The 25,138-nt window shown below is 42.8% G+C and overlaps 1 protein-coding gene across 18 annotated transcripts in view, besides 1 other annotated feature; it reads right to left on the reverse strand.

The window, feature by feature from the left end:
- The window catches only part of NRP1 (neuropilin 1), a 157,175-nt gene extending 139,306 nt beyond the window's left edge, over positions 1-17,869 (reverse strand). For 17 of the 18 annotated variants that reach the window (NR_045259.2, XM_047425977.1, XM_006717525.3 and 14 more), the window contains exons 1-2: positions 17,512-17,869; positions 13,910-14,084 (exon numbers count right to left, since the gene is read on the reverse strand). Coding sequence is in view for 16 of the 18 variants with exons in the window: in XM_047425977.1 (XP_047281933.1) it covers positions 13,910-14,084; positions 17,512-17,584 (248 nt within the window). In the remaining 2 variants the exon portion in view is untranslated. Of the gene's footprint in view, positions 1-13,909; positions 14,085-17,511 lie in introns of those variants that run through there. The other variant, XM_047425978.1, reaches the window with a different exon arrangement.
- Positions 10,883-11,177: a silencer, noted in NCBI's record as "tiled region #15712; HepG2 Repressive non-DNase unmatched - State 8:EnhW". NCBI's record gives its function as "represses a minimal TATA promoter and a strong SV40 promoter by Sharpr-MPRA in HepG2 cells {active_cell/tissue: HepG2}" and the evidence as "EXISTENCE:reporter gene assay evidence [ECO:0000049][PMID:27701403]".

A 25,138-nucleotide genomic window follows, 5' to 3' on the forward strand; every position in this document is an offset into this window, starting at 1 on the left:
GCATTAGAAGAGCCACTGGGGTATTTGATTTGAGCAAACATTTTCAGTCCACTGGAGGGAATGTTACGCTGAAGTTATGCTGTCATGCTGAAGACAGCTAAGTAAGAAAGTGGAGTTCTGAACTGCAGTCACCACTTTCAATACCTTGACAGTAATAAGAAAGAGAGAGAGAGTGTGAGACAGAGTGTGAGAGACAGAGATATATGAAATGTTTGCTTGCAAGGTAACAAGGTCCAAGAAGGATTTTGCTACTCACAAAGAGGTAGATCCTACAGAATTCATTTGACCCATAGAGGCCCATAACAGTCCCACAAAAAAGAAAGCCAATCCCTTCTATTGGGTCTCCCAGCCACATCTGTAGCCATTTGAAATGAAGAAGCGTTGAGAGTGCTTTTGAAGAGTTGCAGATATAGTGTGTATCACATAAGGCCATTCATGAGGGTGAGGTGGGGATAAGGAGCTAGAATAGTAACCTCTTCTCTGCCATGATCCCAAGCTCTTTCCTGCAAACATGCTCTTTGGTGTTGCCACTAAGAACCAACTCCCCTCCCTACTACTGGAAAATCTGTCATAACCAGAAATGCAGGAAGGAGATGGCAAGGTCAAAGGACAGGGGATACTAGAAATAGAGGGGAAATGATGTGAATGGACCATCAGTTTAAAAACATTTATTTCCCAGCTGCCTTTCGCTATGGATTTATGCTACAAAATCCATATCATTTTCTCTTTCTTGGAAAGGAACATAATGACACTATTTTGTTGAATGGATTGTCAAGGACTGGCAACCCTGTGTAATAACCACAAAGCTATTGGCTTGAATACTGCTATTTATGTATGGGTTGGCTTATGGTCTGAATGCACTAAACATATTTACAATTCCTCAAGCACACATGAAAGAATAATTTTTTTAAGTCATTGATGCTATTATCATCAAGTTCGTGACACTGAAATAGCATCTTCTATGAGGTTTTCCAGAAACTCCATCCATCTAGATCTTCAGAAGGCTGCCATTATAACAAACTTAACTGGTCAACTTACTAGAACACTCAGAAATTCTTATTGGCTGAATGCACACTGAGCATAGATACTATCTCTGTTGTGTGTATGTGCAGTGCCTTGGTGCTTTTGAAATATTTATAAGTGTCTCCTCCTAAGGATGCAGACGTTACTGTTTACAGTCTGAACTTATTTAAGGAACCAAACCTGCGGATGCACTTCCTGTTATAGTAATACCTAGGTCTTATTATTTATAAATATGTATGTGTCTCTTGTATTCATAAGACACTTCCATCTACATTAGCTCATCAACACTGTGTTGCTGAGATAGGTAGAGGAAGGAAAGCACTTTTGTTTCGGAATTAAAGCTGTGTCTAGGTGGCATTACTCAGGCAGACTCTGATGTAGGCAACCTGGTCACTGTCACATCTTCCTGGGCTGTACTGGTTAACACTGTCAAATCCACGATGTTAATGGTGCCATAATGAGCCATTCACATATCGGGACCCAGCCCATATGACCCATCTCCTGTCTCACAGACAAGAATGAATGGCAGAGGTGCAATTATAACGCACATCCCTAATTCACCAGAACTCTTTTTCACAGGGAGCTGCTAACAGGATCCCCTGACAATCCAAAATCCCCAGCTTGCGTGAATGAACTAACAGACACATCAGTTTGCTAGAACAGCTGAAGAGGGAAATGGTGATGTCTGGAAGGACTGAACCTATGTATTCTAATAGTTACTCAGTAGTGTCCCCAGACACGAGCAAAGAAATTGGCATGGGGAGAAACGGGAAGAAGAATGCAAAGCTGTTTCCTAAGGAAAAAAGAAATGACAATTCCAATCAGTAGTAAACACACAAACAAACAAAATCCCTCACTGTTTCCTTAGCTTAGTGCCAATCGTCATTGAAAAATAAAATTATGGGCTGCCCTTTGTATTAGGTTGGCGCAAAAGTTATCGTGGTTTTGGTGGCCAAAACCACGATAACTTTTGCGCCAACCTAATAGCATTGAGGAAGGTGCTAGCACAGCTTTGGTAATATAAGGAACTCTAATAGAGCCAGGGCTGAAATATGTTCCAAACATCTGCGTCAGGCTTGGCAGCCTGTTCCCAGTGTAACTGATCATGGAAGAGGGTGAGAGGTGAAGCCAACTGGACTTCCGGGGTCGAGTGGGGACTTAGAGAACTTTTCTTTTCTTTCTTTTTTTTTTTTTTTTTTTTGAGACGGAGTCTCGCTCTGTCGCCCAGGCTGGAGTGCAGTGGCACGATATCAGCTCACTGCAAGCTCTGCTTCCCGGGTTCACGCCATTCTCCTGCCTCAGCCTCCCCAGTAGCTGGGACTACAGGCGCCCGCCACCATGCCAGGCTAATTTTTTTGTATTTTTAGTAGAGACGGGGGTTTCACTGTGTTAGTCAGGATGGTCTTTATCTCCTGACCTCGTGATCCGCCCGCCTCAGCCTCCCAAAGTGCTGGGATTACAGGTGTGAGTCACCGCGCCCAGAGGACTTAGACACCTTTTCTACAAGAGGTTTGTAAAATGCACCAATCAGTGCTCTGTAAAAATGCACCAATCAGCGCTCTGTAGCTAGCTAGAGGTTTGTAAAATGGACCAATGAACAGGACATGGGTGGGGACAAACAAGGGAATAAAAACTGGCCCCCTAATCTCTGCTCAGGTCCCCTTCCAGGCTGTGGAAGCTTTGTTCTTTCCCTCCTCACAATAAATCTTGCTGGTGCTCACTCTTTGCGGTGGTGCCATCTTTTTTTTTTCTTTCTTTCTTTCTTTCTTTTTTTTTTTTTTTTGAGACAGTGTCTCCTTCTGTTGCCCAGGCTGGAGTGCATTGGCACGATCTCGGCTTATTGCAAGCTCTGCCTCGCGGGTTCATGCCACTTTCCTGGCTCAGCCTCCCAAGTAGCTGGGACTACAGGTGCCAGCCACCATGCCTGGCTAATTTTTTGTATTTTTAGTGGAGACGGGGTTTCACCATGTTAGCCAGGATGGTCTCGATTTCCTGACCTCGTGATTCACCTGCCTCCGCCTCCCAAAGTGCTGGGATTGCAGGCCTGAGCCACCGCGCCCGGCCTGGGTCGGTGCCATCTTTAAGAGCTGTAACTCTCACTGCGAAAGTCCCCAGTTCCGTTCTTGGTCAGCTAGACCGCGAACCCACCGGAAGGAATAAATTCCGGACACAAGGGGGCGCGCGGGGCATGCGTAAAAGCCTGCTCCGGGGCCGGGCGTGGTGGCTCACGCCTGTAATCCCAGCACTTTGGGAGGCCGAGATGGGCGGATCACCTGAGGTCAGGAGTTTGAGACCAGCCTGACCAACATGGGGAAACCCCATCTCTACTAAAATACAAAAAATTAGCTGGGCGTGGTGGCGTGTGCCTGTAGTCCCAGCTACTTGGGAGGCTGAGGCAGGAAAATCGCTGGAACCCAGGAGGCTGAGGTTGCAGTGAGCCGACTTTGCGCCACTGCACTCCAGCCTGGCGATGGAGCAATACTCCGTCTTTAAAAAAAAAAAAAAAAGCCTGCACCGGGACCCAGTCTCTCTCCAGACAATCCGTAGCCCTTAACTGTGCTGCTGGGAACCAGAGGCCCCAAAATTCAAAATCAGGTGCCTCTGATTAAGCTAGAGGGAGTGAGGAGGAGCGGATGTGGCCAGATTCTCTGAATGTGGACATGCAGGCACCCACTCCAACACCCAGGGAGTGGCTGTCTTAAGTGCTTTCTGAAAGGTTGTCATCCAGACAAACCACCCACTTCAGCAGTTATTGAAATTGCCCCTTTCACTCTCTCTTTGCTGAATTTTTGCTGATCTCTTCTCCATATGACCTACTGTGGGTCACAGACGCTTCTCAGGGACACATTGCGGTTTTTCACCTCAACTCTTCATATACCTCATTTTGAGTTCAATACAAGTGTCAGCTGTTTAAACTAGTGTTTACATGTGCAAAGCATTCTGTGGGACAGCGAAAGGTAGAAATGTAAGTAAGACATGGTTTTTGTCTTGCTGGGGTCTGCCACCCAAACGAGAGATGAACACCTGTACAGTTAGAATGAGGACTCTACGGAGATGGGTGCTGGAAGGCAAAATAGAGTGCTGCAGTCAGACTGTCACATTAACTGGAATTTGTCAACTTGACTGGCTGCCATCTTTCCAAAAGAGTTGATCTAGAAATTTACATTTTATTTATTTATTTTTGAGACAGAGTCTCGCTGTGATGTCCCGGCTAGAGTGCAATGGCCTGATCTTGGCTCACTGCAATTTCTGCTTCCCGGGTTCAAGCGATTCTCCTGCCTCAGCCTCCTGAGTAGCTGGGATTACAGGTGCGTGCCACCACATCTGGCTAATTTTTGCATTTTTAGTAGAGACCGGGTTTCACCATATTGGCCAGGCTGGTCTCGAACTCCTGACCTCACTGATCCGCTTGCCTTGGCCTCGCAAAATGCTGGGATTATAGGTGAGCCACCGCGCCTGGCTAGAAATTTACATTTTATTTTATTTTTACCATCTTTTCTGTGACCAAATGTGTTAACAAACAAATGCCCACTTTTTCACTTTATTGGAGAATAAAAAGGACAGACAACTATGAACTGAGATTTTTTTTAAAAGATAAAACAGTGATCTTAGTTAGCCAGGGGTTACCACATCTAAAACAGCCTAATCTCTTATCAGACCAAGTCAGCCTTAGCTCCTCCAGGTTTGTAGAGACTTGTGTCTGTTTTTTAATCTTTAAGTCAAGAGTGTGTTCCTTTTTTCTTTAAATGTAAGAATGTATGCCTTTAAATATTTTGAAGTGATCTATGTAAGATTATGATTTTGACCCCGTCTTAATTCTTTCCATGCCACTTCCTGGGTTGCTTGTATCTTGCATAATAGCTGCCCTGCTGGTAGCGTCCAACAGTTAAGAGAGTCAGACAAGGACTTGGAATCGTGACTATATTGACTGGCCTTTGCTATCTTCGGCTATTCTGGAGAAATATGAGAACTTGAATTGAGAGACAGTTAGCATCCTCTTTCAGCCCGGGACTGGAAGCTCTCTCCGTGACATAGCAGTCTATCATAGAAGCAGCAGGCCATCACCTCCAACCTGGCTGGCTGCTTGTACAAAGTATCCACCCAGATAAAACGAAATACACTGGAGCATCTGTTTCTTCTCAGAAAACTCTTCCATTTCTCCTAGGAACCCAGTGCCTGAGCAGTCTCCCTTTAACCCTTACAGAGCCACCGTGGCAAATGCAAGGATCGAAACTGTATGAATGAGGGCGCTGTGGGAGAAGAACACTTCCCTGCTATTTACCTGAGATTAAGTAGATGACCAGCGCTTGGAAGGGAATGTGGCCTTCTCACCTCTGGGCCTGAGAACAAGCACTGGACACAGTGGTATCTAATATGCCCTTTTACCAATTGAACAGATCAAACCCATGTGTGGCCTGGTTGTCAGGCTTTAAATAAACATTGTATTTATATGCGCTTTGTGCTTTTAAACTCCATCAACAAAAAGCACTAGAATTTAGATATTTACTCCCCAGGATTTCCATTCCTAAGTTAAGGCAAGTTTTTATTTATTTATTTGTTTTTTTAAAAACTGAAGGATAGAGTCTCGCTCTATTGCCGAAGCTGGAGTGCAGTGGCAAGATTATAGCTCACTGTCACCTCAAACTCCAAACTCCTGGCCTAAGCGATCTTCCTGCCTTGGCCCCCAAAAGCACTGGGATTACAGGTGTGCACCACCACAATTCACTAATTTTTTATTTTTTGTAGAGAGAGGGTCTTGCTATGTTGCTCAGGCTAGCCTTGAACTCCTGGCCTCAAGCAATCCTCTCACCTCCGTCTCCCAAAGTGCTGGGATTACAGACCTGAGCCACCACTCTGGCCAAGTTTCAATTGAGTGGAAAACCACCAATTGGTTGAAAGTTTCTATGCACAGTTTTCACAAGTGCTTATTTAATCTGAACTTAAAGTTCAAAAATTAAGTCCTTCCTCAGAATTAGTTGGTTTATACTTAAACTTTCCTGAGAACTTGTTAATAAAAGAGTTGCTTGAAGAAAAAATAAGCTGGTAACGTTTCATGAGAATTTCCTCATTCAAAAAGCACATCCATGTGTGACTTTGATCACAAAGACAGAAAGATTTGTGACGCAGCAACTATTTATTTGGGTTCTGTTCATATGACTTTTCCCAGCTTCAGGGATCTCAGCTGTCAAATGAGGATGAGAGAAAAGTGAGTGCTCATCCCCATAATGGGCACATATTGAAGACTCAACAGCAAGAGCCCGGCATAGGTTGGACATGGTGGCTCAGGCCTGTAATCTCATTACTTTGGGAAGCTGAGACAGAGAATGGCTTACCTCAGGAGTTCGAGACCAGCCTGGGCAACATAGTGAGAAGCCCCCCCATCCTTCTGTGTTTTAAATAAATAAATAAATATGTTTTTCAAAAAAAAACCAGTCATAATTATTCCTTCCCAAACACTCTATGATTATTTAAGTTAAAGAAGAAAAAAACAACATGTTGACCAAAGAAGATCTAGCAATAAAGACCTGGGCTTGATGAGGAGGAAGACCACGTTATAAGGCAAAAGTTCTCCATGAACTTGAACTCTATAAAGGAATTGAGTAGACGGAAGCCAAAATATTCTGTTTGTTTTTTTTTCTTCCTCTGCTCCTCTGCAGAACTTAGTAGAGCTCTGAATGAATGTGCTTCACTTCCTAAGCTATCTATGAATTGTTTCAACCATAAGACACTACTAACTGCCCTAGATACCAGATACAGGCCAATCAACCAGAGAAGAGCAGGAGAACCCTCCTCTCAAGGTGCAACGAACTGCCAAGCCACTGACTCTTACAATCAGGATGGATGACAAACACCCAGGCAAGAGGCATTTGGAACCTGATCCAAATGAATTTTTGTTTCTTGTTGTTCTTTAGGCTTAATGATCAGTCTAGATGAATACTACCACTGCAATTAGTTACGTTTATTTTTTAGCTTCCTTTACACACACATATGTGTTTGTGTGTGCGCTTCTGTGGAGCCATGTCAGCAGGCATGCAAGTATCAAGTTTTATGCTGGAAAGAAAGGAGCTGAGAATGTGCATGCCCGCTGAAGGCATATGTCTCACTTGGATCAGTTAAGTGCCTGCTCCCTAAAGTGAAATCTCGTTGGAAATGCCATGCACATGTTGATTCAGTCTGATAAGATTTCAACCAACCTTCTCCTTTAGCTCGCAAAAGTTGCTTCCTTTAAATTACAGAAATGCCTAACACAAAACAACCTCGTAATACTCAAAATTCATTATGATCAAATGTGATTGCTTATACTAAGGGATAATAAAGAAAATTAATTTTATTAAACACACGAGGCTCTGTTCAAATTAAATTTGGTGCTAATGGGGAAAAAAATCAAAAGGAAGAAAGCAGATAATTATCTGCCTGAGTAATAACCAAGGATGCTGCAAGTGGTAGTAACAACTTTGGCCAGCAGTTCTTCTGAGGAGGGTTCATTCTTCCACCAATAGTTTTTTAATTGAATTGAGCTTGGTGGTGGTGCCTCTCACATTGAGAAGTCACCAGAGATCAAAACCAGAAATAAAAAGATGAAGAAAAATACGGCAAAGGAGAATGTTTCTGAATTTGCTTGCACATAAAATCTGCATAATAAAGCAGGCTCCAGATTGAAAAGTTTGAAACAAAGACAAGATATTTCCATCAGTAGCCACTGAAAAAAATTAGAAAATGCATCAGTAGGATTCTGCTTTTTGATTAGAAATAGTACCTATTTTTTCTATATCCACTCCAAAGACTTTCACTGTCTATGTTCAAGGATAGTACCCACAGGCTTCTTTTTTTTGAGACGGAGTTTTGCTCCTGTTGCCCAGGCTGGAGTGCAATGGTGCGGATCTTGGCTCACTGCAACCTCCGCTTCCCAGGTTCAAGCCATTCTCTTGCCTCAGCCTCCCGAGTAGCTGGGACTACAGGCGTGCACCACCTTGCCTGGCTAATTTTTGTATTTTTAGTAGAGACGGGGTTTCACCATGTTGGCCAGGCTGGTTTCAGTCGAACTCCTGACTTCAAGTGATGCCTGCCTCTGGCTCCCAATGTTTGCGAGTGAGCCACCGTGCCTGGCCTGTACATACAGACTTCTAAGACTCTAGTTGAGTTTTACCTGATTTTGAAATGTATAAAAATGAAGTCACAGAAGTTAGGACAGCAGTTGCCCTTGAGGGCAAAGGTTGGTGACTAAAACTGACATCAGAGGGCTTCTAGGAAGCTGGAAATGTTGGCCTCTAGATTGGTTTTGTGGATGTATCCACCTTGCAAAATTTTATCAAATCTTATACTTGGGTTGTGTATTTTTCTAAATATATATTATACTTTACTAAAGGTATATATTCTTCTCTATTTCATATGGAAAATAGAGATGTAGTTTGGCTTAAAAAACTCAGTTTTCCATAAAACAAGGATTTTGTTTTAGTCTAAGTGATGCTCTAAAATACAAGACTAGAGTGAGGTACTTCCCTTGGATACAAAAAGCCAAAAACTCAGTGATTAAGATAAATAGTATTTTAATGTAACATTTTTTAAAAATCCAAATTAATCCTAAAAAATCCATGCTAGTAATAATAAAGAAAGATTAAAACAGAAAATATTACTCATATTACTCAGGAAAACAGAAAATGGAACTTACACTCCAAAAAATGCCAATAAGTGTAAATGTGCAGGAATAAATGTAAATGTGCGGGAATAATCAGATTTGAGAAACCAAGGGCAGATTATTTTTCATTCCATAAGTTTATATTCTCTGAAAATAAAAGACATTAGCACTGTTTCAAAGTTTTTAATAATTTAGGTAATTTAAAAACTAGCATTAAAGGAACAATATCTGAATTATCCCAACAAAATTCTGAAACGAATATCATCTCTATTTGCTTATAATTTCACTATGATTAAACTTCTTACGAAGTTACAAGTATGCGATCTTCCTTTGAACGCACTGAGTTAGGAAAAACATGCCTATTGTTGGTTACACAGAGGAGAGATTACAAATCTAAATCATAGTTGAAAAAAGCAACTGTGCCATGATATGAAACAGCACTGTCAAATCAGACACTGAAGTCGGTAAGTAAGATTTTCTTCTTGTCAGTAGGAAAAGCACTACTGGGTTTGAGTCCCCCAATGCTACCACCTTTTTAGACTTTTGTTAGAGCTTTGCATTCATTTCCTTAATGTTTTTAACCCAATGTCTGTGAAATTTTTATTGCTCCCCGGATGGTGACATCTGATCTGAATGTAACCATACACCTCTTTGCTCAGCAGTATTTGTCACAAACCATTATAAATTATCATGCTGATTGTGTGCATTGCTGGGAAACTGGAGAAGTTTCATAAATTCTAACTACCATATCAATGACATTCTTGTTTATTATACAGATATAAACTTTTATGAGATTCAAGATGTCTGCCTTACCACTGAAGAAAACTTTAGTGGAGTAAGATCTAACTAGTTCGATGTACATACTGAAAACCATTTTCAATGTGCAATGAACATGTGTTTCCGAAAACTCTCCACTGGTCACTTCTTTATTTCTTTTCTATTTTTAATTATGCTTTGACACTTCACAAGTGTGCAGGATTTTGCTGGCAAAAAAGAAATCAACATTCCTTCCTCTCCCTCAACACCTTCTTCGGTCAGAGCATTCTCTAGAATCCTCTCAATCTAATAATAAAATCATGCATATATATAGCTGGGAAAAAATCCTAGTTCTGTGTTAGCCCTGCAGACAGACGCTCCACTGGTCTGTTGATCGACTGATTTACACCACATCTTGTTCAATAAAAGAATTAAGGGGTTATAGTATTATGGTTCTGATGCTTATTTGTAATGAAACCTCATTCAGTGCTGGCATAGACACAGAATGTTGCATGTTAAAACTATGGAGGCACAACTTACACATTTAATTTTCCTAACGAAGTATCCACCTTTGACAGCCACTGCAAAAACTTCACCATTTTGCAAAGTATGATCCAGAATTAACTCATGAACTGGGTCAGTCTTGGTGCTATTCACATGAGAAGTTGTGACTGTATACTGTATTGTTAAGATTATGAAATGATGTTTTTTACCTAATTATACATAAAACAATAAAAATCTAAATAAAAAATTTTTTTTTTTCTACCAGGACTATGTAGCTGGTCTAATGACTTAACCATCCCTATACTCTACAAAAGAAAACTGTTTACTTGGGTTTCAAAGATGTTTCACAATAAGCAAATGTGCTAAGGCATCGATTTCTTAAGCTTTCTCAGGGTGGAAGTTGACTATACAAATACTGACCATTTCAAGAGAAAATGCAGGGTGTATCATGTGCAAATCATCTCATTACTGGGTCAATAGATTTAGTTTTGACGTATGTTTAGTTTCATATTTCCAAATGTTCTAAAAATCACCAACTTGTTAAAGATATCATAATAATGATAACTTATTTTGAGGGTCACTTTTACCTTTTAAAAAGGCTTTCCTATCTACTACTTGATCCTACTAGTAACCCTATGACATCAGCATAGCAAATGTTTTTTACTGCCAACAGACATATAATGAAGCTGGAACAAGGAAAAATATTAAATGTCTTAAATAAGATGAATAGTTTGTTCTTAACAAGAGTGATAACTAAAAGCTCACCAGCTTTCAGAATGTGGTTTTAACTGTGCCTAGTTTTGTGCCACCTCCAATCCATTTTTGTAAATAGCCTGATATAAAGTACAAAAAAACCCTAATAACAAAACTATGTTTGTAGGAATCTAATCTAAACTTTGAAGTCTATGAATTTGTTCTTCAAATAATTTCTGGTGTTCCCAGGTTTTTTTTTTCCCCCTAGGGCATTCCAATCCCCTGTAAAATTTAAATCTGTGGATTCTTCTCAAAGCCTTCACAAAAGGAGGTAAGTATTTTGCCACATTTGTAGAATCTCAAATGCACCCTTCAACACTGAGCACTAGTCATTCATATGAATCAGCTTAGAAAGATAGTGAAAGGAATGCCTTATGCTGGTCTTCCTATATCTTTCTGGAGTTTCTCATTGATAAAAAGCTCACAATGCAACACTTCAAAACACAGCAGGAAGATATTTTCCATGGATCTAATCTCCATTGACTTCATCAGGCTAAATATAACAGCCTTTCAGCTTTGGCCAGGAGATGACACCTTCACAGAGAGCAAAGCCTCAGTTGGGACAATTAAGAAATCACCTTACTCTGTAGCATTAAAAAAACAAACAAAGTCACCATTATTAAGATTGTTATGTAACATCTTCTTGGCCATGTCAGTTTCTCAAATACTTTGCTGATATCACTAAAACTGTCATTTTCTGTGAATTACAATCATCTTTTAATGTACTTTTTAAAAAGAAAACTAACCAAAAAGGTGCTCCTTTAATCCCATTATACCCCACCTGACACCATGATATGACAAATCATTATTTAAGGTTTACTGTGAGCTAGACACCATTGTAATACTGTGAGATGCTGTTGTAATAATTAGTATACGCTGATTATTTGGAAACTGATCATCAGCCTATGGATTTATGCTAATTCTCTAGGCACCAAAATGTTGAATGAACCAGATGACCTTATTTCCCTGACCATGAAAAGCTAGTTTACTACACCAACTCAACAGGTTGTTGAGCGCTTTCTACAGGTAGGAAGATTTTTATATTACTCTGTTCTTTCCCAGAAGAAATGTATGTGCAAATAGAATTGTAAGCCCTTTACATATATTAAGTGATTCAACTGGCTTCCCTTCTTAAATTTCTACTCCAGTTGTGTGCTGGATCTGGCGCCCACCAGCTCATAAGAACCAACTGTGCACATTTCTTTGCTAGTCTGGGCACAGTGACATCACATGGTTAGTTTGAAATTGGCTATGATGAGAGTATTTACACCACAGAAATTGGCATGTGCTACATACAAATGAGGACTTGACTCGTCTTCTCCAAAGAGCCAGCTGTTAAACATTTACCACCACATCACTGCCAATAACTAGTGATTATTCTGAATTCTTTAAGTATTATATTACACGTATTGATGGTCATGATTTCCAGATTAGAAATTAGTAAACGTCAGTTTATTGAATTCTAACAGCACTTTATTTTTTGGAATAATGTTATTACTTGAGTATGTTTTACCAGAGTTTCTCCTATAGCAGTTTAAACATGGTCAAAAAGCAAATACTAATAACTACTGCTACTACTAATGAAGTAAATCAAATATAAAAGAAAACAAGTCTCCAGATTGTCTAGGTGATTGACACTGTAAAAACCACCATAAAGAATATTAGCAAAAATAAATAAATCAATACAATGAACTCTTTGTTTCCAAGCAGTCACTGGAACACTATTAATGGTAACTTCCATACACAATTAAAAAGTCAATATAATGCCCTGAGGCACTTCTGAATCACAAAGCAAAGATAAATTGGAATTGGTGTAATTTTGTTGCACTGTAGTATACACTGATTATTTGGAAACTGGTCATCAGCCTGTGGATTTATGCTAATTCTCTAGATACTAAAATGTTGAATGAACCAAATGACCTCATCTCTCTGACCATGAAAAGCTAGTTTACTAAACCAACTCAACAGGTTGTCGAGCACTTCCTACAGGTAGGAAGATTTTGATATTACTCTGTTCTTTCCCAAAAGAAATGTGTGTTCAAATAGACTGTCTTTAACAATGAATATACTTGCAAAATAATATTTAGGTCCAGCGGTAGCAGTAGTCTGTAGATATCATATACGGTTACACCAAACTGACCCACTTTAAAACTTGTGAAAACCTCTCAGTCCCTGAGAAACACTTTAGAATTGAGATTTAAATCGATTATTTTTCTTTGATAAAACTATTTATATATGTACAAACTTAAAAGATGGATATTCAGGTTCAAGTCTCTGGAGACTACACCACTTTCAGTGGGTCAGAATGGGATAATGTGGACAAGACAGAGACAGGGGGTCTGTTGGGTGTTAAGAGAGACGAGCAAACATGTATCTGAGTGGACTGCTACGTGCAAGGTAAAAACATACTTTCGATACTGTGGAAAGCAATATCCACATACCAGTTCTTTCACATAAAGTGAGGAAATATAATTTCGACTGTCTCTATAGTGAGAATGTCTTCATAATAACGAAATTGGGCATAAGTTGATGTTTAGAAACTTAACAATAGAAAGAGATAGCAAGACTAAGCAGGTGGATGAAACACTGATGTGTATTTGAGTTCCCATTGTATTCATCGTGTCTTAACAATTATTTTCTAGCATTTTCCATAAAAGTATTTTAATCAGTAATCCACCATTTACAAAACCCCTCATCTGGCTTATCCTGTAGGCCTTATTTTATTCAATTTGCTTTTTCCATGTCAAACTTACTTAGTAAGATGAATGCAGTTCTTAAATCATAAGATGTGCCACAGTTCAATATATCTCAAATAGTGAGATCTCCAATCACACTATCTGTGGATGCGATGTATATTAGTGATCCACTGTATTTCGTAAAAATACAAGTGAGATTTTTGAGTTTCTAGTTCTTCCCCTCTCCAGGAAAAAAAAAAAAAGAAAGAAAAAAGAAACATACATACTGTATACATTTCTTAACAAGAGTTCCCAAACCAAAAGTGCTAACAGGAAGGAGTATAAGAGCTTACACATTTAACTATAATCTTCCTGGTTTGGGGAACTCAGAAATCACTTAACGTACTTCAATTTCCATACCATTGACATATAATCTGGCTGAGATTGGAATCCCTCCTGGATCCATTTATAATCTACATTGTACACACCGACTTCCCCCCCGTAGACAGGCGTGACCACTAGATGGTGCTGTGGTGCCCTGTTCAAAAACATTCCCACTTACTTGCAGTCTCTGTCCTCCAAATCGAAGTGAGGGTTGAAGTTGATCATAATTCTCTGGTATGGGTCCGGAGCCTGAATCAGCCATTCGCATTTTTCACTTGGGTGATAAGAATGAGGATAACCAGGAGATGTAAGGTACCCGGGGCTTTCAATTTTTATAGTATCGCCACATTTATCTGCAATGAAAGTAAGATTTTAGCAGATCTTTCCTGACAACCTGTTAGGTAATCTAGCTTTATATGTAAATTACTGGTTATTAAACATTCCTTAACTTTTTAAGGGGAACTCTAAAAGGTCCCCGTAAGTCCTTCGTGTGGCTCTGAGTGCAACACTCCAGGAAAAAACACTCTTTGATCTCAGGAAGGTTGACTCAGGCAGAAAGCCAACTGAGATCTGAGAGGACTCTTCCCCCCAGCCCCGAAGTTTCTTCCTAAGGAAAAGGTCTTCTAGCATTAAAAACATTAAATCCCCTCAATTGATGTTAACATGGTCCCCTGGGAGCTTCTGCTAGACTTAATTATCCCCCAAGAAGTGTAATCACATTAAGTAGCAAGTTCTAAGTGGAAAGTGACTGAAAGATGCTGTTCGACCCCTTGTGTTGTTTTTTGATGATAAGCCTGGTCTATGTCATTGATCAGTGGGGATTGTCTTTGATTGGCTTAAAGCCAAACCTTTTGTTGTTGTTGTTTTATCTGCCCATAAATCTAAGTGATTTTGAGTTATCTCTGCTCTTGAGATCCAAATCAACAGAGAACAAAGTATATTTGGTGAAGCAGAAATAATTCTGCTTTACTTCTCCAAGTAAAGTTGTTCAAGCTTGGAGATCGGATCAAAGCAACGGGGCAGAAGGAAAAGTAAATAGCCACATGGCATTAATTCTAATTACCTAAATGTTGGGTGAAAAATAACCCACCACACAGGTCTGGGTATCACATATGGTAACCCACATTCTCACATTCTGGGAAAGGTGAGCTAAGTAGTTTTGAGCCTTCATTTCAAAAATGCTCAAGTGAAGCCAAATAAACCAAGTAAACCAGTCTCTGGGCTGCCTATATTGTTCAGCATAGATTCTCATTGTCACATTTTATGATGGATTTCATACTGGAGCACCTCAGCCTGAAATGCTGCCACATTTATTGATGCTTAATTTTGAGCAATAAAAATTCGGTGCATAAACTATATAAGAGAAACGGTATGAAAACAGTGAAATATATAAGCCTATCAATCACAAATTTTCAGTAATGGTAGATGTAGATTTTAACACTGCATCTAATAGATTCCCTGTGGAAAGAGAATGGCATTCTTTGCTCTCAGCATGAATTTATAAATCTACAGAATTTTATTACAGGAAAACCAGGTCAAATGGAAATGAAAGATGAAGTGCACATCAAAAATGCATAAAGCTACATGCATTACAGAAATCATTTCCCATAAATTAAAAAAAGAAGACAATATAAGTTATATTGTTTTTCTCAATCGCTAGGTGCTTCTGACTTTGTTCCTTAGACTGGGGGTAGTCTTATGCTGGTTTCCTTTGCACTGGCTTGTAAAAGTGTAAGCTTTGCCAGGAAGAAATGATGTTGCAACTGGAGTTCAAAATCTCAGCTAATGATCATGTTGGACTCTGTTATGTGATTCTGCTGAGACTCTTGCATTATTTTGAATGTGCAGAAAACTTGGAAAGTGACCTCGTCTCATTAAGTTTCCTCTAGCTCTGGACAAACATCATGGTAGTGTCTGGCATCTGTTACAGGAGTGAAATAAAACAGCACTGGTTCTAGTCACTCGACAGAGTCACTTCAGAAGACATTTAGGTGGACTTGGTACCACACCAGAGCTCTTTAATCTGTGACTTCTGAGAAAGTGACAGTGTAATAAGATAATGTGGACTGCTAGACTCCCTGGCTCTGTTCAATCTCTCTAGCAGTTGATTAAGAAAGAGCAGTTTCTAATGACTCTGGACCATTAGTCCTAAATAAGGTTAATGAATTAATTTAGCAGACACTGGTTACTCAGAGGAGGTGGACATGGCTTTGAGAGGTCTGCTGAGTTACAGAGGCATTTTCTGGCTCTGGTCACTTCAAGCATAGCGACATGGCTTTTGCTGGTAAAGCTCAACAACTAAAGCCAGATTTTCAGCATTCCCCAGATTTCTGCTAAGAAAACTAAGAAGTGTGTGTGTGTGTGTGTGTACTGCATATATATTTGTGTAGTTCACAACCTAAAGTCTGATAGCTCTTTGCATTGAGCTTCAAATCTATCTTGTGAACACCCCCACTATGGATTTAGTCTCAAGAGTTGTGGAGGACAGGGTTACTATAATTTCTAGTCCAACCATTTGAGCTCTTTCAGTTGGACGAGAATGCTATTTCATTCCCTGCCAGAGTATAGAAAGATGCTACCAGCTCAGGTTCATTAATAAATTGAATTCTACATTCATAATTTTTTGTGTCTTGCTTTCCTGCCAGATTATAGAAAAATGCCATCAACTTGGGCTCATTAATAAGCTGAATTCCATGTTCATAATTTTTTTTTTTGCATGTGTTTTGCTTTAAGCATCTCTTAAAATACTGCTTGGTAGCTGCTGAGGGAAATCCATTGCTAAAATCACAAAACCTTGAAAAAGCATATTAGAGAGATTAACTTCCATCATAAAGATGTGATTTAAATTCCTGTTGGTATGAGGCCCTCCACTTGCGGTCTCTTATTAAAACAATATACCACAGTAAGTAGTGGATGTTCTTTTCTTCTAATTACTGTGATTGAAATCTAAGCCAGACAAAAGTAAATATTTGATCATTAGTTAATAACAATTGCTGACGACTTACTGTAAAGATAATTGCATACCCTTGCCTGCACTTACTTTACAGTGTGAAGTCAAACATGCCTACAACCAGATCCCATTTTAAAACACATTATTTAGGTTACATGGTACTGTTTAGACCCCAGTATAGTTTTTCATTTACTTAACAGTGAGTGATTTTAAAAGCTAAGTGGAAGCTGCAACTAGCTTAGGGATTTTCAGATATCCTGGTGCCTTACACTGTATATGTCAGATTCCTGTATTGATACTATGTAACTTTCAGTCATACTCCAGACAGATTACGGAAGGTGTACAAAGGCGGGGGAGGGAGTTTCATCAACCCACAAACCGATATCTCTGGCCGTCACCCACCAGAGGAAACGGCTTAGGGGAGCAGCAAAGGAACCAGGAAGTAAGATCTCCTGGTAAAGTGTTCATTAACTTTCAACAGCCATCAGATTTTTGAAAGGGAGTCTCTTCTAATTGCCTTTGGGAGGAAACATTATTAAGATAATTGGCATGCTGATCTGGGAAGGTAGACAGCTCTGTCTTGTAACAGAGGTAAGGAAAAGCCCCACAGCCCAAGGATCAACGTCAGGAGGGAGCCCAAAGACCTGAAATCCTCCTGCTCTAAACCGCCTGATCTCATTTCTTCTTCTCTCCTCCCAGATAAAAGTTTCCTTCGCCCGGGAGTCGGTTGTTCCCGGCTGATCCCGGGAAGCCCCGCCTGAGCCCCGGTCCGGGGCGGGCAGCTGGGAGCCGGGGCGCCGCTGTCACCCGCGCCTCTGCCTGTCACTTACCGTTGCGAAAAGCGCCGGCCGGGGCGAGGACGAGGGCGAGCACGGCGCAGAGGAGCGGCAGCCCCCTCTCCATTCTCCCTTCTCCGGGTCCGCAGGCAGACGCGGGAGAACGAGGACGTGGGGGGAAATGCAGCAAAGAGGAGAATCTAAGCGATCCGAAGAGCCCCAACTCCGCCTAGAGCTGTACAATCCTCAGCCCGTCTTGGAGAAAAGAAAGCAGCGAGGCAATGCCTGGATCCGAGAGGAACGCTTCTCTTTTTGTGTCTCAAGTCGCCTGCATCCTGTCATTTAGCTCCGGCTTCCTCTCCCTTTTCCCACACTTGTTCCTCTTCCAGGAGCCACTGCCCGGGCCATGTCTCAAAAAAAAAAAAAAAAAAAAAAAAGGCCGGGGGGGGGCTGTGGGTGGGAGGGGGAGGAGGGAGGTAGGGCAACACACACCAAAGCCAATTTCCAGGAAGAAAAAAAAAAAATCCGGCTTGTTTCTGGACCCGTTGGAGCCGCGGAGCTGGCGCCCAGGGGAGGTCCGGGTGTCTGCGGGAAGGAGGGGAACGAGCAATGAAAAGATGAGCGGGAGACAGAGGAGTTTCACCAACTGCACCCCCGCCTCCCCTCCTGCGGCCTCCCCCCACTCCGGAGCCCTTCCCTCGCTTCCTCCCGCCCCTCTCCCCGCTTGGGCTCGCCTGTAATTGCCTGACAGGAGACTGGGAGGAACAACTTTCCCTCCGAGTGCTCTCCCCGTCCGTCTGTCTGTCTTTCCCAGAGACCCTGCAGGGATCTCCGCGGGAAGGAAGGCGCTGGGAGTCTGCGCCCCGGTCGCGTGGGTGCGGGCGTCGGAGGAAGGGGCGCGGAGGTCAGTGCCAGCCGCAGGGTCTGGCCAGCCCACCTCGCGTGCTCGCTCTGCACCCCTAGAGGGAGAGCTGGGCAGCTCCTGCAGGCGCAGATCCCGCCGCCGCGCAGTGCGGAGCGCCCGGGAGGTGGCGGCTGCTTCTCGCAACTTCAAATCCCGGGGCCCGCGCCCTCGGCGGCGAGGAACGCAGGGTCACCCCCTGCCACTCCTCATCGCGCCATCCTGAGACCTGTGGCGGGGAGCAGCGGGGCACCCCTGGACGCCCCTGCCCAGAGCTGGAGGGCGAGGAGGGGAAAGCCGGGCTGGAGTGGGAGCCGCACCGCGAAGCCGGGCGAGGGGCAGCAGTGTCGCTGTGGTGTGAAGCGAAGACAGACCGCCTGGGCGGGCGAGGCCGGGCTGCAGCCCCACGCGGCCTCCCTGGCCCGCATCAGGGCGCGCGGCTGGGTGCCCTCTGCGCGCCGCGGAGGCTTCATTGTTTCCCGAGATTTGGTGCCCGTTCCTCTGGGGCAGAGGGAACACCGGAGGGTGGGAGGTGCTGCGCCTTCCAAGCAGGGGGGCAATCGCCGCCCGACCCCGCCCAACCTTGTCTGGGAGCCCAGGTGCTAGGGAGGGGTGTGGAAATCAGGGGTCGGGCGGCCCCCGTTTCTCTGTGCATCCCGAGGGAGGGAAAGAGTGGCGGGGGAGGGGTGCTCTTCGCTGCGCCCTCTCAGTGTCCGCTCCCGGCCACAGACAACGTGCACGCCGGCCCTGGAGCTCCTGCCACCCCCACTTCCCACAGCGGCTCGTGCCCCCAGCCCGCTGGATGCCCCCCAGGCCCGTCCCCGAGGGTTTTCCGAGAAGTGCTGCAGGAAGCGTTTGTAGATGCGAAAAGCAAGGACATTTCTGGGAAGAAACAGGTTGCGGTCACCGATCAGGCCCCGGAGAAGGGTCAGTGCCCACGGGGCACCTCCCAGGGAGTTTGTGGGTAAGGTGAAAAGGTCACACGCCTCCTGGGGATTGGCGTCTACACACACAGCCAAAGTACAGCCTGATTCCTACCTGGCACAAATAGCTGGCCAAAGGGAGGTAGGAATGCTGGCAAGGAGACTCTGGTCAAAGGTTTTGGCGGAAGAAAAAGGGGCGGGCAGGGAGAAAGCCCAAGGCGCGCGGGCCCCAGGCCAGGACTGCGCGCTCGCGACTCGGGCTGGGAGCAGTGACGTGCGCCCCTCGGGGTGCAGGCCGTTCCCGGGCCAGTGGGAGGTGCACCCACGGAGCCCGCACTCGCCACTCTCTTGCCCCGGGTCAAGCCTGTCTTCTCCTCCCCACGCGCCTCGGGATTCCCAGTCGCCAAGTTGGAAACTCGGCCCCCCCGAGCGCCTCTTTCCTCTGCCAGTTTCCTCCTTCTTCTCAGCTGTCGGACCCCTGGGAGGCGCGGGGTGGGAAGTGGGCACCGAAGGGCTGGGAGTTAAATGCCTAAGTTGAGCGGAAGGAGCACTGTCGAAGCCATGGGCAGCCCTGCGCCCGGGCAGGCGGGCAGGCGGGAGGCGAGGCGGGGGCGCCGACCGCGCCCAGCGCAGACCCCGGGGGAGTGAGCGCCGCAGAGGCAGCCTGGGCTCTCGGCTACTACCCGCGCGCGGTCGCCGCCTCCCCAGGTGCAGCCCCGCCAGTCCCAGCCCCCGGCTGCGCCGGGCGAGCGGCATCATCAGATTTAGGGTGACCCGGAGCGACCTCGGTCCAGGCTCGGAGGGAGAGGCGCCTCTCAGGACCTGGCAGGTTGACAGGGAAGGGGAACCGGGAGGGAGCGGCGGCCGGGGCGGCCTGGAGTCTCGGAGGCCCGCCTGCGTCCTGGGGGGACCCGACCTCCGCGCTCGCTCCGGAGCGCCCGTTTGGATAGCTCTGAGCCTCGGCGGGGTGAGCGAGGGGGCACACGAGGGAGACTTGAGCTGTGTTGTTTTTAGAAAACTGCCGCCAATCTCTCTTCCCCTTTCCCTGCTGAGTGTGCATTTTCCAGCCTAGACCCGCCAGGCCAGCAAATAAAGCCACCGGATCGTGCACTCCGGAGCGACTGCCCCCACCCCGACCTTGTCTTTCCCGAAGGGAATGGCTCCTCCGGCGCCTCAACGCACAGAAAACGCCTGCCTCCAGCTGAGCGCTTTTGCCAGCTTTCTCCAACCAGTGAATAAGGGATGCACTATGGACTCAGAAGGAAATGTCATATTTAAGTTCTGCCTCTGATTTCTCTGCTCTTAGCTGATCTAAGGTTTTTCTAGACTCCTTAGTTTCCACTCACAGTGCTGGGTAATGGAGCCCTACCGCACTGATTGAGAATTGCCGGCCAGTGGGTTGGTACAGAGCAAATTGTCCTTGCTAACAACCTTTTTCCTTTGCTGTTGGATTCCACTAAGTGGTGAGAGGGGTCAGTTTTAGATTTTTGCAATTCCCCAGCGTGGAGACAGGCCGGCTCTATACGAGAATAAGTGATAGGCAGAGGAAGAATTTGGCAGTGTTCCCGGGTTGATTTTATTTTGGTCTCTTGAACACATTATTCTTCCTGATAGAACAAATCCCTGGACTTGGTAGGACCCAGTTCCAGGGAAGGGAAGAGTCCTCTACCGCACCCCCAGAACGCCCTGCAGAGGCTGTGAGTGGGCAAAGCCCAGTTTCCTGGACTCCCACTTAGGAGGTGCTGCAGAAATAAGGCCTTCAGCTGGGGCTCCCTGAGTCGGATTGGAACCGTGGCCCATCAGTAAGAGTAGACTGGATGGTAACTGCTCGATTCCTTTCATCAAGCTCTCATCCCTTTGTCAGAAATAGATGAAATCGATTGCTCCCAGAAGGCCATTTGAGCCACTAACTCCCTCAAAGTACTTCAGATTCATGCAATATGGAGATTCGGGTTGGTAGTTCAAACTGCATCATATCTAGTCAAGTTTTTTGAAAACATCAAACCCATAAATTTCAGAAAAGCAATACAAGCTCCATATTTTTAGTAGGAGCTAACCTAGTTTTGAGATGTATGAATAGATGAAGTGAAACTGGAAAAACATTAAAAGTTGGAATTTTAATTAACTAATGTTTAAAATAAGCCTATTAGTGGTTATTCTGTCAAGTGACTGTGTCATGCAAGAGGTGTCATCTGGGCCTCATTTTTGGCCATCTCCTTGATTTGTACTGACAGAGAAGGAAGGAAATAAACAAATGAATCTTCACTTTCTGATTCTACCTTTTTAGCCTTTTAAAAGTTACCTTGAAAATTCCTCAAATATTGGAGAAACGACTACCAACTAAAACGTTAACACAAAGTTACAATGTGAAGTTTTTGTGATACAGTATATTTACTAACCAACAAGATGAAGAAAGATAATGCTAAATTTTGAATCACACTAGATTCAAAACATTTGCTAGAGTAGAGGTTACAGCCATATTTGAAAACTGTATTATTTTTCTGAGATAATAATATTAAATGATTTTGCCTTCATTGGATTACTTTTAAATTGGGAAAATTAAAATAATTATAACCAACAGAAACACTCTTCAAATCAATAGAGACATCATTAGAGAGAACATATTCAAAATTTGAAAGGACTGTTTTAAATAGGGCAATCTTTAAAATATAATTTGAACAACCAGAATAGAAAACTGGCTGCCTCTTAATATTTAATCATAGTTTTATGTAAATAGCTAAAATTTTAAATCAATAAAAAATAATTTTTAAAAATATCAAACAATGGCCACAACAGTTAAGAATTGTTGAATTTATTCTCAAAGGATGTAATTTCATTTTGCATTTTTATTAGATGACTCTGGCAGTTGCCTGTAGAATGGGTTATGGGCGGAGCAAGGGAAGAAATGAAGAGACCAGTTTTGAAGTAACCATAGTAGAATCTAAAGGAGAACTTCAACAAGGATCTGGCGGTGGAGATTGGAAAAGGATGCTTTCCAGATGTATTGAGAAAGTCCAACTGGACAGATGGTGGTGGATAAGCCAATGAAGGAGAGGGTGTTACCAAAGATTCAGGCCCTCATCACTGATGGGTGCGATTGCCTTCATGTAAGCAAAGGGACACTAGCAAAAGGCTAATTTGGAAGGAAGATCATGAATTTGATTGGGGTTAGGTACAGTTTCTGGTGTCTTTGAGGCAATCAAATGAGTTAGGAATTCAGAGGAGATGTTTGGATTGGAGATTTTAAGTTTGTGAGTCACTGACATGTAGATGATGGCAATCAAAGTGGAAGGAATGGATAAAATTGCTGAGGAAATTTCAGGAGACCCAGGATAGGAAGTTAAGGACCCTTTAAAGCCTGGATTGTCACAGTGAGCTAACAAAATACCTTGAGAATGAGCAGCTGGGTGGTAGGTGGAAAACCAGGAGAGCCTATTGTCATAAAAGTCAAGGAGAGGGGGAATTTCTAAAAGGAAGCTCTGGACAAGAGTGGAACACCATCAAGAGTTCCACTCGGATGAGGACTGGAATGCAATTGGACTTAGTGGTATCATGGTTACTGAGAATTGACTCTTCCAAGAGTCATTCAGTGGAGCGATGGAGGAACAGGACTAGAGGTCAGATTGCAATGGGCTGAAGAGTCAATAGAAGGTAAAGAAAGAGAGAGAACACATAAAGATAAAATTCTCTCTGGAAGTTTCTACTAAAGGGGAGGAGACAGACGATAGCTCTGGAAGGAGGAGATGTGGAGGGAGGTTGACTTTTTATTTTATTTTATGTTTGCTTTTAAGATAGGGTACTTGTGAACATTCTTGAATGCCAATGGATAGAATCCAGTATTGGGGGATATGTTGAGATTAAACTACTGAAAAGATAATCCGGGTGTTGATTGCCTGGGAAGGCAGGAAGGGATACAATCTACAGCCCAGATGGACAGATTTACCGTAAGTTGGAAGAGGGACAGCTCCTCTGTTATAGCAGTGGGGAAAGAGGAGCTGATGGGTGTGATTACAAGAAGGTTTGTCATTTCAGTGGGTGGGTGTGGGGGGCAATTTCTCTCTACTCTGGTTTTCTCTGTGAAGTAAGTCGTACCTTTGAGTAAGAATGACAGTGGAGGAGAGGAGCCGAAAGTGCCTGGAGAGCAGAAAAAAATTGACGGGGACGACTAAGCTGACCAGAGAAGCTGTTGTTATCATGTTATTGTTTTGATAATTTCGTAAGTTAAAAATTTGAGCTGGGAGCACATTTTCTATGGAAGGCATTCTCCTAGAAAAATTGGCTAGTTTTTCATGAAACTCAAAAAAATCTGCTTAACTCACAAGGAAGTAGTAATATAATATGAATGGTATTCTTTCAGCTTTAGTGACTCAAAGTAGGTGTTCTATAAATGTTCTTTTTTAAAAAGAAAATTTTCCAACCATTATTTACAGCACATTAAGGAATGTGTCTATTGATGGGTAGGAAAAGTTTCCCCCCAACCAAATAATTCTTTGTAATAATGTCTTCACTTCCTCCCTGCCCTTTGTGCTTTATCCTCCTAGAGATAGCCAAAGAAGAATTTAAAGTTATCATTTATGTCCTGTACCAGACCTCCACAGACTGGCTTATTTGGATAATTCAAGTGAAATACAACCAAGATGTTTCTTTAGTTTTGCGAAGTCTAGACTCAACATCAATATTGCACACATTTTTCAGATATATATGTGATGTTTTTTGAATTGTTATACAATTTCCTGCCTTGATATTTCAGTCAAATGTATTGGGTAGGTTATCAGAGGGCGTTGTTTTCAAAAAAAGCCTTTTTCCTTCAATTTATTTTGTTAAAGCATCAGACTGCCAAAGAATCTTAACTTCTATGTAAGGGGTGATACATTAATACCTTTTTGGTTGATTTTCAGCTACAGAATGCACAGCCTTGATGGACTTGCTTTAATCCACACTAAAGCTTATATGACATGAGGAAGTCATGCAGAACAGAACAGGCCTTTCTGGAACTTTTATATTTTAAGAAGTCTTCAGCCTGTTAGTACAACAGGTTACCTTTTGGCAGGCACATTTTCCTCCTGCTCGAATGCTATAAACACCCCAGCAGGGACGATAAATAGCAATGTAGACAGCAAGGGAAAATATTTGCTAAAAGATACTCCTGCACTTTCTCTTTTTGATGTTTCCCTTGTAAGTTTTAGTTGAAGAAACTGGAAAAAATAGAAATGTAAAAGTTGAAACAGCAAAATTATAAAGTGACAGGTGATACAACAAAACATATCAGTTTGTACTCAAAATGTAAAGCAATAAAGCAAGCACACATTGAGACTCTCTAATTAGTATAATTTGCATTCACAAAGTTCAAAGTGGAACTTGGGTATTGCCATTCTCTTGCTTCTCTCCCTAACAAGCCACAGGTAGCCGAAATGAGGCACATTGAGAGTTCAAATTTGGCAAAACTCTGCAGCAATTCAGTGACAGAATAAAACATGGGAAATGGATGTTTTGAAATTGAGTCTGTATCTTAAAGAAAGTGAAAGTAAAACTTTATAATAAAATAAGGCTAAATCATACACAATTAGTGTATCCTTTTGAAAATTAGTTTGTGTTTTATAAGGTCAAATGGCTTCTTTAAATTCATACTGTGCTATTGTATCTAGCCTGGCATGTTTCTTTACTGTAGTTCTTTTTCTGAATTTTTAAACCCCTTTGTGATTTCACAGAGTTAGTAATTATGTTGGGATGTTGGGGCGTGGACTGGATGTAGCTAAACATACTCAGATTTGACTCACATTCAAATGTACTCAAACATTCAAATTTAAAGTTGTCTGCCAAAGCAAACTTCTGTCTCATTGATTTTTAAAATTCTCTG

Source organism: Homo sapiens, chromosome 10, assembly GCF_000001405.40.
Source record: "Homo sapiens chromosome 10, GRCh38.p14 Primary Assembly".
In the NCBI taxonomy this organism is placed as follows: Eukaryota; Metazoa; Chordata; class Mammalia; order Primates; family Hominidae; genus Homo; species Homo sapiens.